Below are 15,882 nucleotides of genomic sequence, written 5' to 3'. Positions count from 1 at the left end.
AGTCATGGTCCCAGCAGGACACTCAAAAAGAAAATCCCAGAGAATGAAATGAAGGGATGGACTAGCCAAAGCGATCAAGGTTTGGAGCAGAAATAATGTATTAAGCATGGAGAAAACATACTTAGGGTCTAGAAGCAGGGAGAAGCTATTGCTCTCAAGGGATAAAGACAGAGAACTGTTTCAGGAATTTGGCCAGAACATCAGCCTTGTAAGAGGGGCTGACTATAGAACTGGAAGAGAGAATGAAGCCACTGCCTAATGGGGGCTGGCCAGGGTGGAGGCTAGGAGAATAAATGATTTGATTTCTCCCTCCTTCTAGCAGTAATCTTTGGCTAGTGCCTTCTATTGGCCAAACTCACTAGGAACCAAAGGGCAAGGGAACAGGAAGAAATGGTCCATAGAGGGACACTTCCTGGCACTGGGCACAGTGGAGAGGTGAGTTGATCTCAAGAGCAGACTATCCAGCACAGTTGATCTCGAGAGTAGACTGTCCAGCACACATGTTATCTTGAGACCGCTACTCTTCCAGGCAAGAGGGTTGGTTACCAAGAAATTACCCTACATCTTGCTCTCTCCAATTTCCCACATCTAATCAGTCTTGCCAATGTAGCTATTTTTCAACATTGCCACTCTTTGACTGTCTGTCACCCTAATGCCAGTGTTTGTCGTCTCTTAATTGGATAATTTCAACAACCTGCTACTAGTTTAATTCTTCCAGGCTGGCTCTACCTTTGGGATAGCCTTTCTTGCAGGCAAAGCGCTCTATCTGAAATGCAACTCTTATCTCACTAATGCCTTGATTAAACCCTTCGATAAGGCCTCTTCCCCTAGAGAATACAGAGATCCTTCTTTCTGGCTCAGCATGTAGAAGTCTCCCTGATCTGGCTCCTGTGGCTTCATTGCCTTTGATATATATCTGCATTTTCCTAAACTCTGCCATGCTTTTCACAACACTGGGCCTTTGCTCGTGCAGTTTTCTCTGCCTTTGTGTGTATATATTTAAACCTAACTCGTACCTATGCTTCAGGACTCAGCTCAGGAATCATCTTAAAATAAATAATTTCCCAAACCACTAAATAGTTAAGTGTCTCTCCTCTAGCAGCCCACATTTTCATCCGTAAAACAAAACACCATATTCTAATGACCATCATCTGTGTCCATGTTCCCAATATGCCACTGCCAGGGACTCAACTGAGTATTATCCACTTCTGTACCTATAATATCTAGTAAAATTCCTGGCACATATTAGATGCTTAATGGATGTTTGATTAACTAAATGGAATTGGGCAGTGAGTCTTTATTCTGGAATACAAAAGACAGTATTGAAGAAGAAAGGGAGCTTCTCAATCTTTCCATTTTGGCATTGGGGAAAGATTGGCCAGCCAAAAAATGTTTATAGGATGCTCTTTCAAGGAAACTAAAAGACAAGGAGTGGTTAATTATAATTAATGCCAGGATCCAAAAGCAGGAATACTAGAGTTTATCAAAATACAATATTGATTCAGAAAGTAAGTATAGGGAGGTGGGAATCAGGCTTCAGATAGGACCGAAGATACAAAGGGCACTGAAAATTCTTTTGAATTCTCTGACATCTGGTTTGTACATGCCAATCACAAATTCCTATGCGTGGAACCAAGAGAGAATCACAAGACACATATCAGCACAGCAGGCTCATAATTGGTCTCTGATACGGGTTAAAGGTAGAGAGAACCAGGGTCAGAAATTCCTCTGCACTTAATTTGGTCAATGGCGGGTAATAATGAAGGAACAGTATTGAGAGCATGGTAGAGTCATATGACGCCTTTCCTCACCCGTTATATAAATCACTGATATTAAAAACTTAGTAGGCAGAAAGAGGAAAATAAAACAAAGTCTCAGTTATCTGAAAACAGTAAAATGAAATAGCACAAAAAAGGGAAACATTCATCATTTAAATCTCATATAGATTACTATTAATATAATTCTGATCTTGCACCACTACTTGTAGATAAATTGCATTCCTATTCTTTTAATTTGCTAGTAAATATACCAAAAATCACATTTAAAAATAGGTTTATTTAGTTTAAATTTTCATTAAGATAGAAATAGTTTTGTTAGAAAAATGAACTGTGCAGCATTCCTATTTATAAAGAGTGAAAAACCAAATAGATAAAGAGTATTTGATAAGAAAATACATTTATTTGCATATAAATAGAATTGCAGTGTATTTGTTTTCATCAAATGTTCTTCATTTCATTCTCTAATTTCCCCTATATTCATTTTCTTACAGAAATTACCATTCATACTCATAATTTGCAATACCGCTCTCAAGCTTGAAGTCCTATTTCCATTTCTGATTCTCTGTTTCTGAAATATTTTTCCAAGCATATATCACTTTTCTCCCTTTCATCTCAATTTCCTGAAAAAAAGGAAAGAAAAAAACCTTTTATCAGGAAATCCCCGCAACCTTGTTTCAAACATCTTCTGTTTGTTTGGTGGTTTTAAAATATTCAGAAGAAAAAGGAGCTGGCCTTTAAGTAACTAGAATGTCTAAGGAAAGAAGAAATCTTTCATTCGGGAATTAGATGCTGAAAGACTTGCGAACGCTTTTCTGGCACAAGGCTAAGATATGATCTTACTCATAGAAATAAATTCAAAGGTACAATGTGCAGAGGAAAAAAAATCTAAGGATTGGTGTTCTGAAGACCTAGAACAAGCTTGGAAAAGGGAAACATTAGGAGTAATTGGTGATAGCAGATTACATGAGAGGTATTTAATTAAGGAGGTTATTCACATATACTTTTTTTTTTTTTTTGAGACAAGTTTCACTCTTGTCGCCCAGGCTGGAGTGCAATGGTGTGATCTTTGCTCACTGCAACCTCCGCCTTCTGGGTTCAAGCGATTCTCCTGCCTCAGCCTCCCGAGTAACTGGGATTACAGGTGCCTGCCACCACACCTGGCTGTTTTTTGTATTTTTAGTAGAGACGGGGTTTCACCATGTTTGCCAGGCTGGTATCGAATTCCTGACCTCAGGTGATCCACCTGCTTCAGGCTCCCAAAGTGCTGGGATTACAGGCGTGAGCCACCTCTTATTGGCTGATAGAAACCCTATGGGACCTGCTGGAGTCAACAGCACCAGGAGAGAAGGAACCCATTCACACTCATCCCAATCCATTCACACTCTTGCTCACTTTACTTGAGCCACATTAACCTTGTTTGGGTTCCTCAAATCAATGACACCAGCGCACAAAAAAAACTTACATATTTATTTGAGCAAAAAGAGCTGATATAATGGGTATTTAAGATGACTATAGAAGAGTTCTGTAAGAAATTGGGTTATACGACCTTGGATTAAACACTACCATAGGGATAACCAAGACCAGGGTGTAGAAAATACTTCATCTCTTAAGGGTGATGTCTGACAAAACATTAGGAGGATTTCTACTAGGAACACAGAAATCTTGGTCAGTTCTGGTTGGTTGTGGTCATAGCGGAGTGGTGATGTGGAAGAGGAGGCAAAAATATTACCTGTATATCTGGGTACTAGCTGAAATTGTAGGTCACCCATACAGGTTAAAAAAATCAATTTCCCCTAGTATGTCATTTGCTACTTTTTAATTAATAACATTAAACAGAGGTGAGGTAACATTAATGAATAAATGAGCAACTGAGAATATTACATTTCTGGGAAAAATAACTGATATTTTAATTTATGGTTTTAATAAGATTCTAATATAAGTGATTGGTAAAATTTTTACTATTTGAATGTAATGAGTGCATTGTAGTTATGATTATTTAACTCCCATAATGATAATTTTCCTATATTTTCCTTAAAGATGTGTTCACAAGTCAATATTACAATATTTCATAATTCTCAGTCAGAGCTTTTATATAATGCAGAAAATTTAAATCTGTTTATTAACCTTCTATTAAATTCCTAACACCACATACTAGCACCATGAAAGATAGAAATATTACAGTAGACATTCCTTTATTTCAAAAATATTTACAACATATTTGGAGTAATTAAATGAAAACATTAAGTGCTTTACAGTAAAGCTCATCACTGCACTGGGATATGTTTCTGAAAATGCAACATCACTGAAACTGTGTACGGAGAGGCATTAAATTAGGGGAAAATGAAAACTTGTGGTCATTGTTGTTAAGCCTTCTATTGTGCCACACTGCTACCAATTACAATGTTTTACTTAAGTGCATCAACTGTATCTGACATCAAACATTCTTTTACAACCCCTCAAGTTAGAATTATATTTATAAGGTTCAGGAGTAAATCTGCTTATACGTTTAAATACCTTTAAGTTGGATATTTAGATAGTAGAAATAGTGTTACATTTTAAAATAAAGTACAACTCATATTGTTTTTAATCAGTTATCCACATAAATGTGCATTTTCTTTTGGGCCAAAATGAGGCAGAGGTGTAATGTGAATTTTTCATTCCTTCACACAACGATAGTCTCTCACAAAACAAAGAACAAAAGGAAACATATGTTCACAGTGGGAAGGATTATTACTCGATCATCTGTAGAAGCATGGCCCAGGGAGCCTTTGCCAACCTACTGGGGATGTCACATGTAAAAAGGTTTCTCCAAAAGGTTGGCAATATGATTTATTAAAGGAGTCAGATGACATGGGAGTTAAGGGCAGCAAACTTCATTGTGATGGAAAGGATCTAAGCTGCTCCAGCAAAATGAAAGGATTATGGTTCACCTGCCAACACTGTGCAATTTATGGATGAAACCTCAACCACGAAAAGTGAAACTTCTTTGTGTGTGTGTATGGGGTTGCGAGGGGAGACATAGGAAAGGAAAGGCAGACAGACCGTGGAAAACAGATATTTCCCCTGGATAAGAGTAGAATGGCCAGTATCATAACACTCATGTATTATAGAATTAAATATAAACCTGTTTCAGAAAGTACAATATTAAGACCCTTTTTAAATTTGATATTCTTTGATGATATCTCTGGTAAAAGCAGAAATAGAAAGAAATAGAGAGAAGGGGTTAAAAAAGAAGGACACACGCCAAGCACTTGAGTTTAGGAATATATTCCAGCTGACTACTAAAAAGCAACATTTCAGGGAAGGCCAACTTCAAATTCCTATGATGTCATATTCCACGATTTGCACCTTAGTAGACAAAGTACTTATACTGAGTAAACTGATACAGGAAGACATTTTCTAGGAGGGCTTTAGTAAAGATAGGACAAGTGTAGGAAGTTACATTTCTTTCACTGGGAATTATGGGAAGACACACAACAGCGAGGCTCGCCAGATAAATACCTCACTTGCATTCATCCATAGAAGACTTTGAAATTAGTAGCCTTCAATATAATAACAGAGTTCCATTTTTTCTTCTATTTTATATACACCATCAATATTGATATAAAAATAAAAATTTTCATAACCAACATTGTGTTTAGGCAAGATAAATTATGCAGATATTAGCTTCATAATGTGCAGTGAATGATTTAGACAGTCTGAGATGCCCGATTATATGTGCTCATCACTGCTCCATGGATAAGGAACGATGGCACAAAGACCTTCTTGGCCAGTCACATTTAGTCTCCCTCAATGGAACTGATTATAGCCATTCATACACATTCAAACTTTCCTACTTTTCCACCACTGATATCCAGCTGCTTATTTTTGAGTTGTGGAAAATGTAAAGCTGTAAATTAAGCCTCATACTTGAATTTCTCTGTCTTATTTTCCTTCAGAATTTTCACTCTTATATAAAGGATACACATATGGAGTAGTGAAAAATGTATTAACTATAGTGAAAACTATGGAAATTATTTTGGCAAGGGAGAGTTGAGAGAATGTTTCATTTCTGACTCGGCACACGTGGAACATTTTGGATTTTATTATTGAGATACAGTTAGCAGTTTGGTATTTAATAATGAATTTTTTCTCATCCTCCAGTCACAACCTGCTTGAGTAGATCTGTTTTACTGGCACTTAATCAGGACCTTTAATTCAAAAATATCTCCAAATTATAAAGAGATTATACCATGTGCCCAACGCACCATGTAATATACTATCCTCTAAATGTAAGATATTACACTGTGTGCCCAATTTACCATTTTTTTTGAACAACTCTTGTCAACTGCAGCAAAATAGGATTAAATGAAATAACGTATGTAAAATGCCTAAAAAACCAGCACATAGAAGGTATTTAATATATACAGTTTTTTCTTCTTTCCTCTGATATAGTTTATATTCAGGTGACAAAAATATTACATTCACATAAAATAAAGGAAAATGATTTTTCTTACAAAATTATGTGTCCCACTACAATAATTATTATTTAAATGGCAAACTTTGCCAATGTATTTACTATGGAAGCAGTTTGCCATAATTTACATTTACCTGCAATGTTCAGGAATATACCTATTATGTGAAGCAGGCTGGACCTCTATGACAATCACTAACATTTTCATTACACCATCACTAACTGCATTTTCTCATTCCAATATCGAGTTTTAAGTCAAACAATGGCCACATTTATTTTATTTTAATTGCAAAACCTTACCCCCACTCCCAACCAAGTCATTCTCTTATTTCTGGAATTATCTCATTATGAAGAACTCACGCAAAAACCTGCAGTTGTGCTAAACGTTAGGTTTGGATCAGATGTCATACATATAACTCTTAGCTGTTGCTCGTAAAATGCATAGTGACTTGGTTTCTAATTTTTGGTTCATGACAATTATTGCATAGGTAAAATAGTTGTGACAGTTTGATAAATAGTTAGAAAACGACTAATAGACAACCTAATAAGTCTAATGCATTTATGATGTGTATGAAAGAACAACCTCCTACAGTAAAAACATATAACTGAGCTTATTATTTACCATACTTTAAAATTAATGATTATTGATAATTTAAGAAAAAATGTTAAAACATATTAAATATATTTTAAGGTCTTACTTAGGCATTCTGTTGCTGTTTCTCCCTGAATTTTTTTTATATTTTTCATTAAGATAAATGAAAATATGGAGTATTTAAAAGTAATGCTGTTCTTAATCCATTGGTCCTGTTCCATTATATTCTTTTTAGGCATTCATAATTAATGGTGCATATAAGCAAGAAGTGACTCTATAATAAGAAAACCTTTGGATCCATTAACCTGGCATCCATTTCTAGGGAAGGTATCACTGTGGTCCTGAAAGGATAGCTCCAAGTCACCTGTCGACATTCTTGAGTTTGCTTTGCGGAGAGAGGAAAAGACTAACAACAGAACTAAAGTAGATCCACTGAAGACATGAGTGATAGACAATCACTTCAGAACTTCACATCGCCGTCCAAGAAAACATCTAGCTGACATTTCTTCAAAAAAATTTATGTACAGTATAGTTGTCAAACTGATTTTTCAAAAGCAACTCCTTTGCTTTTCATTTTTCTCAAAGTAAAACCTCAGGGTAGCACATTCCAAAGAAGATACGAAAAAGTTTATTATTATATATTTTTCCACCATTAAATCTAGGGGTAATATCATCTGTAAATATAGTGGAGAAAGTCTGGAGACTTTTTAAAAGGAATTGTAAAGATGTTGATAGGAGTTGGGGAGAGGAATCCTTACCAAGCTCTCTACCTGACACTCCTTATTCAAAGAAAATTCTGCCCTAACGTAGCCCTGGCAGTCCATTTGTGTCCAGGGAGCTCAGTCCCCCTCCACTCTCCAGTGTATAATTCCAGCAGTAAGGAAAATTAAGACAAAGCATTCTGTGCGAGGGAGGGCGGAAAGGTTAAGCAGCGTTGGGGTGCAGTGGAAACCAGAAAAGAAAGTGACCTCATTTTGCCTGAGAAAGCACGATCCAACAAGCCCACCTTTGATGTGGATTTCAGCAGCGATAAAAGAGCACAAAGGGCGAAAGCCGGAGGGAGCAAACTTCCCTTATTCTTCCCCCCGCCCCCTACCTCTCAAGACCACCAGGAACACGCACACGCGAGGACAACAAAGCGTGCGCCCAGGCTGCACGGCAGGCGCTTCCCGCGGCTGGGCCATCGTGCCCTGGGGCGCGCCGCTCCCAACGGCAGAGCGAGGGCGCCGGAGCGCGGCTGCCGCCCGGACCGCTGGGAAAAAGGGGTGGAGGAGCTCCCCTACCTTGAACAGCACAAAGAGCCAGAGCAGAGGCAGGAGGCGGCGGGCGCCGTGTATCCCCGTGGGCAGGTGCCCCATCGCTGCGCGGACGGGGACTCGGGGGCACGGCTGCGCTAGCGGACTCCCCCGGCGGCGGCTCACAATGGCGAACTGGGGCTGCAGCCTCAGACCCTGGGCGCCGAGGTTGCTCCTGGCGAGCGCATGCTGCCTTTCCAGTCCCCCTGCGCCTGCTCCCTTTCCTCCTCTGCGCCCGGGGTCCTCCAAGAACGTGCCAGGCGCTGCTGTTCTTTAATGACTAAGGATGGAGAGGGTGGGGATTGGAGTGGGCGAGGCTCTGCCGCCGCCACCACCGCGGCTGCCAGAGGAGGCGCGGGGTCTGTGTGGTGAGCGAGAGGCGGGGACCCCGCGCCCAGCCCGCCGTAGTCCTCTGGCAGCAGGGACACTCTCACTCTGGCTGCCGACCCATAAAATGACAGCAGCCTCCCAACCCTCCACCAGGATCGGCCCGCTGCTTGCTACTGCTGGACAGCCCCCATTGCAGACTCCGCCTCAACCCCTCCCTCAATCTCTGGGTCTCAGGAGTTCTGAGGGGTTTCCCTGACCTCTCTTGAGCAATCCAGGCGCCAGATCCCAGTTCCCTCTCAATCTTCCTACATCTGTACTCAATTGCAGTTATAAAGGATCAATAACAGTTGGGTAGTTGTGACTGTAGAAATAGTGTGTAGTGTGAGTGTGTGAGTGTGTGTGATAGGAAGGGTATTTTCTCTCCTTCCCCACTGCTTCCATTATCTCCATCCCATTTCAACACTCTCACCGTCTCCGTCCCACACTCACCCAGGAACAAATAGCACAATTATGCACCTTTTCCATTTGAAATCCGCAGTTCTTGTACATTTCAGATTCTCTTTTGATACCAAAGTGTGTCGGGTCACCTGAAGCTGAATATAGAAGGGGGAAAAATCACAGTATTTTACATGTATGACCCTTGAACAACACGGGTTTGAACTGTTGGGTCCAGTTATATGCAGATTTTCTTCCACCTTTGCCAGCCTTGAGACAGCAAGACCAAACCCTCTTCCTCCTCCTCTGCCTGCTCAGCCTGAAAAGGATGACGTTAAAGACTTTTATGATAATTCACTTCCACTCAATGAATATAAATGTATTTTCTCCTCTTTATGGTTTTCTTAATAATATTTTCTGTTCTCTAGCGTACTTTATTGTAAGAATACAGTATACAATACATACAACACAAAATGTGTGTTAATCAACTGTTTATTATGTTATCAGTAAGGTTTCCGGTCAAGAGTAGGCTATTAGTAGTTAAGGTTTTGATGAGTTCAAAGTTATATGTGGATTTTCAACTACGTGATTCTCTGTGTTGTCCAAGTGTCAACGGTATGTACAGTTATATTTTTAAACAATTATCTGTGAATAATTTTACTGGGATGTTTTAGAATCACAAGCAACGACTTTCAAGCTGTGGGTCCCCAATCTACTACTTGTCTCCTTTTTTGTTATGTGTATTTTTTTAAAGATAAGTCTGTCGAAATCAACTCTGGTATGCACTGTTCAGATAGAAATCATTTCTTATTGTCATGTAAATTACCCTTGCTGTGCCCTGTCAGTATTGGAACTTATTTATACCTGAGACATGCTTGGGCAACAGGAGACAGGAAAGGCCACCCTGGTCATGAATGTAGGTGTTCAGGCATAGACTTTGTCAGTCACACAGCTAGGGAGTGGTGGCCTGAGAAAAGGATCCAGAGCTGTGTTTACTCAGCTTTTGCTGCATGAGCAATGGCCAAACACTAATCATTTGGTTGTTGTTTGTATGTGTCTTAAGGAAGCTTTAGATTGAATATGTTTACATAAGTGTGAATATGTATATATACACATGTGTACATGTACACATATGTGTACATGTACATATGTGTACACACATGTGTGTGCATGTACATATGTGTACACATATGTGTGTGCATGTACATATGTGTGTACACATATGTGTATGTGTGTACATAGATACATATGTGTATGCATACGTATATGTATATGTACGCATATGTATATGCATGGTACATATATGTATATATGTACCAAATTTCATATGCATGAAATATGTACCAAAATTCATATGCATGAAAATATAGAATGATGGTCTGAATTTTTGTGAGAATATTATCCTTGGTGTCTTCTTTTAGAAGCTTCTTTTGTTTTCACATTCCCATCACATGCTCTCTTCAGGTCCCTCATGTCCACTCATCATTGGTTTGGACATTTTCTTTCTTTTGAGAAAATGTTAACTGCTCCTCCCTCCCTCTGGGTTAGACTTACGGGCTATCTGAACATTTAATCCTTGGGATTGCACTTATAGGAACTTTGGTTTAATATGTTTTCTTTTTATTTTGACGCTCCTGAAGCAGCATTTTATTCCCACTCGCCCTCAGAAGTGGCTGTAAAGTGATCTAATCTCTAGAACATAAGATATATATAGGCCAAGGGCAACAATCACACTCACAGGATGCCAACAATTTCTCTTTGGAGTAGCATTTAATTTTAAAATGTGTCTGTGAATTATGGGTCTGTATGATGATATTCATTTGTGTGTATGCATATGTCTGTGTGTATACATGGATATAGCCTTGCCTGATGTGCGTAGGGCGTTTAAAGCAGTTCTGATCATAAATTAATCTTGTAAATGCTAAAAGAACTTTCACAATGAGGCTCCCTTTTAAATAATCATATTCTGCTGCGTCTTTCTGTTTTTCTCTTAGTCATACATCACAATTTGTTCAGCTCTTTCTGTCTTTGTGCATATATATATATATGTATATATATATATATATATATATATATTATGTGGACCACTTTGGAGGAACAATAACAGTAAACAGTAAGTAGTAAAGCATTAGTAATTGGCATTGTTGTTATTTTATTAGTAACATTGTGGTTAGATGGGCTGAAGACTGAAAGTATTATTTTATAATCACAGAAAATTTCCTCTCTAGAGAAAAGTATTTTACATTGCTATTGCTGGATAAAATACTTTCATTTGTTTTTATTGCACTTAAACCATAACAGTGTCCTAGAAGAGATTCTCATAAAGAATGTGAATGCTGTGTCATCCACAGTGTGGGGTTTTCAATTCATAGAGCATGTTTTGTGTTTCTTTGAGCTATTGACTGGTTTTTCAATACAATACTTCCAAAGTATGATAAATCTTATTATGCTATTTTCAAGACTCCAAATCAACAAAACAGCCAGGGGCAACATACAGTGCATATAGTAATTTATGTTTCACCAATTGCTTCTACATATTGGTCCAGATTTCATTATGACAACCACATTGTTAGGTAAAGAAGGCTGAGATCATTATCACCAACTGTTTTCCCCTAATGCTACTTTTCCTGGAGAAAAAATAAACACAGAAAAATAATAATATCTCTGACATGCCATAAAACAAGCATTGAAAAATAAGTTCTCACAAATTGAAATAAAGCTCTCTACTTCCTTTGAAAATTATAAAAAGGTGGTTAATGATCATGAAACTGGAAGGTCTTTTTAAAATCTATAGGAGGCTTAGTTTTTACCAAGAAAAGCGATCTTTTCCTAAATATGTAGAAATGTATCTTTGCCTACGTGGTTCACATCTATCTCTTCTATAGAAAAGCAAGCGCAGACACAGAGAAGCAGCTAGAATCCCTGTGAGAGGTTTAATGAGGAGTCAAATGGAACTCTTACGGTGCCCTTGCCAATGAAGCTCAATTCTGTCCTCCAGGGACAACCTCTAATGTAGTTGAGTGTGTTTAGTCCTGGCTTCCACTACTGAAATAGCCTACAAGGCTGTCAGCAGTTTCAGTATTAGATAATTGTATTTATGGGGGATGCTCAATGACAAATAATTTACTTTATATGGAATAGAAAGAAAAATTCAAGCAATTGTTCTCTAGACTCTATTCCATTGGAAAAGTAATAGCCATTCAGTTTGTTGTCCATATCTCACATGTTACAATTTTTATAGCATATGAACTGTAGATTATCTGTATTAAGCTCTTGGAAGAAAATGACCAGGAAGCATTTTGATTTTCTATTTATTTGAGCATTTGTTTTAATTTTTTCTCTTGATGAGCACTGGTTTCTCACCTAAATGATGTGTTGACAATTCATAAGTTTTGTGTCTTTCAAAATGAGAACGATTGACAGCCCTCAGGTGAATGGCATGTTCCAACTGCCAAGACTTATTACTCTTGCTGCACTTGAAAAACAGTGGAAATACGCTAAAGAAGGTCATTTTTGCTTTTACTTGGAGAGTCTTTTCCCATTATATTCCCCTCTCCCGCCGCAAAAGATTCCTATTAAGAGACCTATCTTACTTGTACTTGACTCTTACATGTCTTAAAGAAAATCAAATAAGAATATTGCATTACAAGATATGTCTTACAACACAAAATTATATACTTAAAGAAATAAGGAAACATACATAGAAAGTGTGAGCAGATATGCAGATATATATCACTGGACACAAATTACAGGCTATAGGATAAACAGCCCTACATTAGAAATGCAGATTGTCGTGTTTTTAGATATTATACCTTCATTCAGTCATATACTAGGATTCTGTTTGTTGCTAGCATTTCATTTAATTGCTCTAAAACTTTAATAAAAGGCATTAGCCTTAAGTTATATGATTTTATCTCATATTTTATTTATATGAAATGCCTTGACTAATGAACTTCTAAAATATTTTTTCTGAATGTTCCAGACATTGCTATCATTTACTAATTTAGCTTTTCTTCATAACTAGGTTTTTTGGCTAACTATAATTTAAAGTATTAGCATCACTGCACTGAGTGATTCACTTTAGCTTGGCATGAAAAGCAAGAATAGAACCTGAGTGTAATTTATAGCTAAAGCAAGACATAGTGTTTGCTAAGTGGAAATGGTATCTGCTGATGCTTCCTTCCCTTCCTTCTTTACTTCCCCTCAAATTAAAGGTGCAATGCAACATTTACAGTCAACTCAGTGTCACACATAGTGCCTACATATGTGCCACTTAAAAACAGCTACCAATATCTAATTATGAAAAATTTGGTGATGGTGATTTCAGGTGCTATGTAAAAACTATGAAAACATTAATCGCATATTTTGAAAATCCACTGCCTTAACTGCTAAGGGTTTTACCTCAGCAGTTATAGTACTATAGCAGGTATAACAACATTGCATTGACAATCATACTTCAAATCAATCACACCAAATCAATTTTATGCTGAAATTACAAAGCTAATGATATATTCAAATTTAACTGTGAGAGAAGGGGTAAAGAAGACCATACTCTGAAGAGATGAGGGGATGCCACTGATAGATTGATGTTATTACCTGTCTTAGCAGAGGGACATAGAAGAAAAAATTTAAAGAAGGCACAGTAATTCTAGAGAAAATGAAGTGCCCAAGGGAAAACTAAAACATCCTCCTCATCAAAACACAAAAAGAGAAGGCAAAACAGGAAAGTCACACATTTCTAGATACACTTGCTTAGTGTGAATATCTGTAAGAGAAGCAGTTTGGGAGTGGGGGTTATATGTAGAGATTTCACCTGTTTTGGTTAATAATTTGATAATGTGGAAAAATTATAAGAGTAAGCATTTAATGTATCTCAAGAGGATGATTTGAGTGAAATCTGATCAGGGATCAACATATGTGAAGCCTATGGCCATTCTCTGTTAACTCACTATCTCACTCTACAGTGACCACTTTCTGCCTTTTCTACTCATCTCAAAGCTTCAACCCTCTGCCCTGGAAAACTTTTCAGTGTTTTGGCTTCACCTTCTACCTTAGAGAGGAAACAGAGGTGACAACTTTTTTATCTTCCTTGACAGTAAACATAATTCCAACCCATATTCAATTCATTTCTGTCTTGTTGAGTACAAGGAATGGTCTCTCTCTCCCTCTCAACGACCATATAAAGAAAATTTTACCACCTATTTTCGGGAGCTCATTACTTCCAGCCTTTTCTGTGCTATTTTGATGGATTCCATCCTTTGGGTTTTTAACCATGTTCATAACTTTACAACTGAAGGAAAGAAAGTCTTCACTGGGCCCTGCTTGTCCTTGGCCGCAACCTTTTCTTTCTCTCTCTCTTTCACCACTGCCACCGTCCGTTCACAGCGATGATTTTTGAATGGTCGTGTATACTCTGTCTCCATATTTTTCAGCTTCTACTTGCTTTTCAAACCACTCTGTAGGGCTTCTGTTCCCATCATCTCCTGAGCACTGCTCTCACCAAAGTCCACTAGGAACCTCTTGGGAGAGTATGCTATGTTGGCTGTTCCCTCCTTCCTCAAGCATTCTCTTCTCCAACTTTCTGTAACCTTACACAACCCTGTTTTTTGGCTATATTTCTGACTGTCCTTTTTGTATCTCCCTTGCTTGTTCATTTTCCCCTTCCTGTCCATTTAATGTTGCAATTCTCAATTCTTAATCCTAGACTTTCCCTGTTTTCCTCTGAATTCTTGCCTTTGCCAATCTAATCATTGGCCACGTCTTCAATCCCTACCTATGCGGATGAACCACAGGGTTCTGTCAGCAGCCTTACTAAAACACTCTTTTGTATTTCACACCCACAAAGCTAACTGCATGCTTGAATCTCCTTGTGTTTCAAACTTCTCAAACTTAACAGGTCTGAAACTGAACTCAATAATTTCCATCAGAAACTCCTATCTCTATAAATTATACCAAGACCAAACCATCCACAAAAGCCAGAAACCCAGGTGTCATTCTTTATGCCTCTTTCTCCACCCACCCACCTCCAATAGCACCAAATCCAACGTGATTCAATGTCCTGTTCTCTTGCTTCTGAAATAGTTGTTGTGTCAATTCATTTCTCTCTATCCCACCCTACCTGTACTTTAGTTCAAATTACCTTTATCTTGCTGGAACTATTGCAGTACCTTCATGAATACCTATTTGCATGAGTCTAGTCTACTTCTATCCTCTCTGGCTTCCTCCACTTCAGCTTGGAGTACAACAAAAAAGTATTTCCAACTGCATCAAGGTAGAACCAGTTTTTGTAACTTCAATCTGATTAACCAGACTCTTTTACATAAAACTAATCAATGGTTTCCAAATGCTTCTAGGATAGTAGTAGGATTCCTTAGCTTGGGCCAGGTGTGATGGCTGATGGCTATAATCCCAGCACTTTGGGAGGCTGGGGCGGGTGGATCACCTGAAGTCAGGAGTTTGAGACCAGGCTGGCCAACATAGTGAAACCCCGTCTCTATTAAAATACAAAAATTAGCTGGGCATGGCGTCAGGCACCTGTAATCCCAGCTACTCAGGAGGCTGAGACAGGAGAATCGCTCAAACCTGGGAGGTAGAGGTTGCAGAGAGCCAAGATCTCGCCATTGCACACCAGCCTGGGTGACAAGAGTGAAAATCTGTCAAAAAAAAAAAAAAAAAAAAAGAATTCCTCTGGTCCACAGGCCCTAAACAATCTATCCCTTACTTGAATCTCAAATCTCTTGTGATATCTCCATCACCTTTGCTCTCTGAACTTCTAAAACTCATTCATACAATGCTCCCTCTTGATACTGTGATGTGTGCTATTCTCTCTGCCTGGAATTTTCCTCTCCCAAATGTAGTCCTATTTCTACTCAAACTTTATTTCCTCAGCCTACTTCTAGAGTTTAAACTTTCATAACCCACCTAGTCTATTTAGTATTTATATTTTGTTTTCTTCTTCATCACTGTGAATTCTAAAAGTTCAGGTACTTCGTGAGCAAT

The 15,882-nt window shown here is 38.3% G+C and overlaps 1 protein-coding gene and 1 long non-coding RNA gene across 8 annotated transcripts in view; one reads left to right on the top strand and one right to left on the bottom strand.

Annotated features, from left to right (window-relative positions):
• Positions 1-8,400, bottom strand: part of PTPRO (protein tyrosine phosphatase receptor type O) — a 275,824-nt gene extending 267,424 nt beyond the window's left edge. For all 5 annotated transcript variants that reach the window (XR_931316.4, XR_007063106.1, NM_030667.3 and 2 more), the window contains exon 1: positions 8,107-8,400. Coding sequence is in view for 3 of the 5 variants with exons in the window: in NM_030667.3 (NP_109592.1) it covers positions 8,107-8,181 (75 nt within the window). In the remaining 2 variants the exon portion in view is untranslated. The remainder of the gene's footprint in view (positions 1-8,106) is intronic.
• Positions 1-15,882, top strand: part of LOC105369673 (uncharacterized) — a 79,767-nt gene that overhangs the window by 17,798 nt on the left and 46,087 nt on the right. For 2 of the 3 annotated variants that reach the window (XR_007063226.1, XR_007063225.1), the window contains exon 3: positions 7,059-10,267. The exons of the other annotated variant lie outside the window; for it this stretch is intronic. This is a non-coding gene — a long non-coding RNA (uncharacterized LOC105369673). Of the gene's footprint in view, positions 1-7,058; positions 10,268-15,882 lie in introns of those variants that run through there. 3 annotated transcript variants of the gene reach the window in all.

The sequence above is a fragment of the Homo sapiens genome, chromosome 12 (genome assembly GCF_000001405.40).
Source record: "Homo sapiens chromosome 12, GRCh38.p14 Primary Assembly".
Classification (NCBI taxonomy): Eukaryota; Metazoa; Chordata; class Mammalia; order Primates; family Hominidae; genus Homo; species Homo sapiens.
This window is presented reverse-complemented; position numbering and strand designations above follow the sequence as displayed.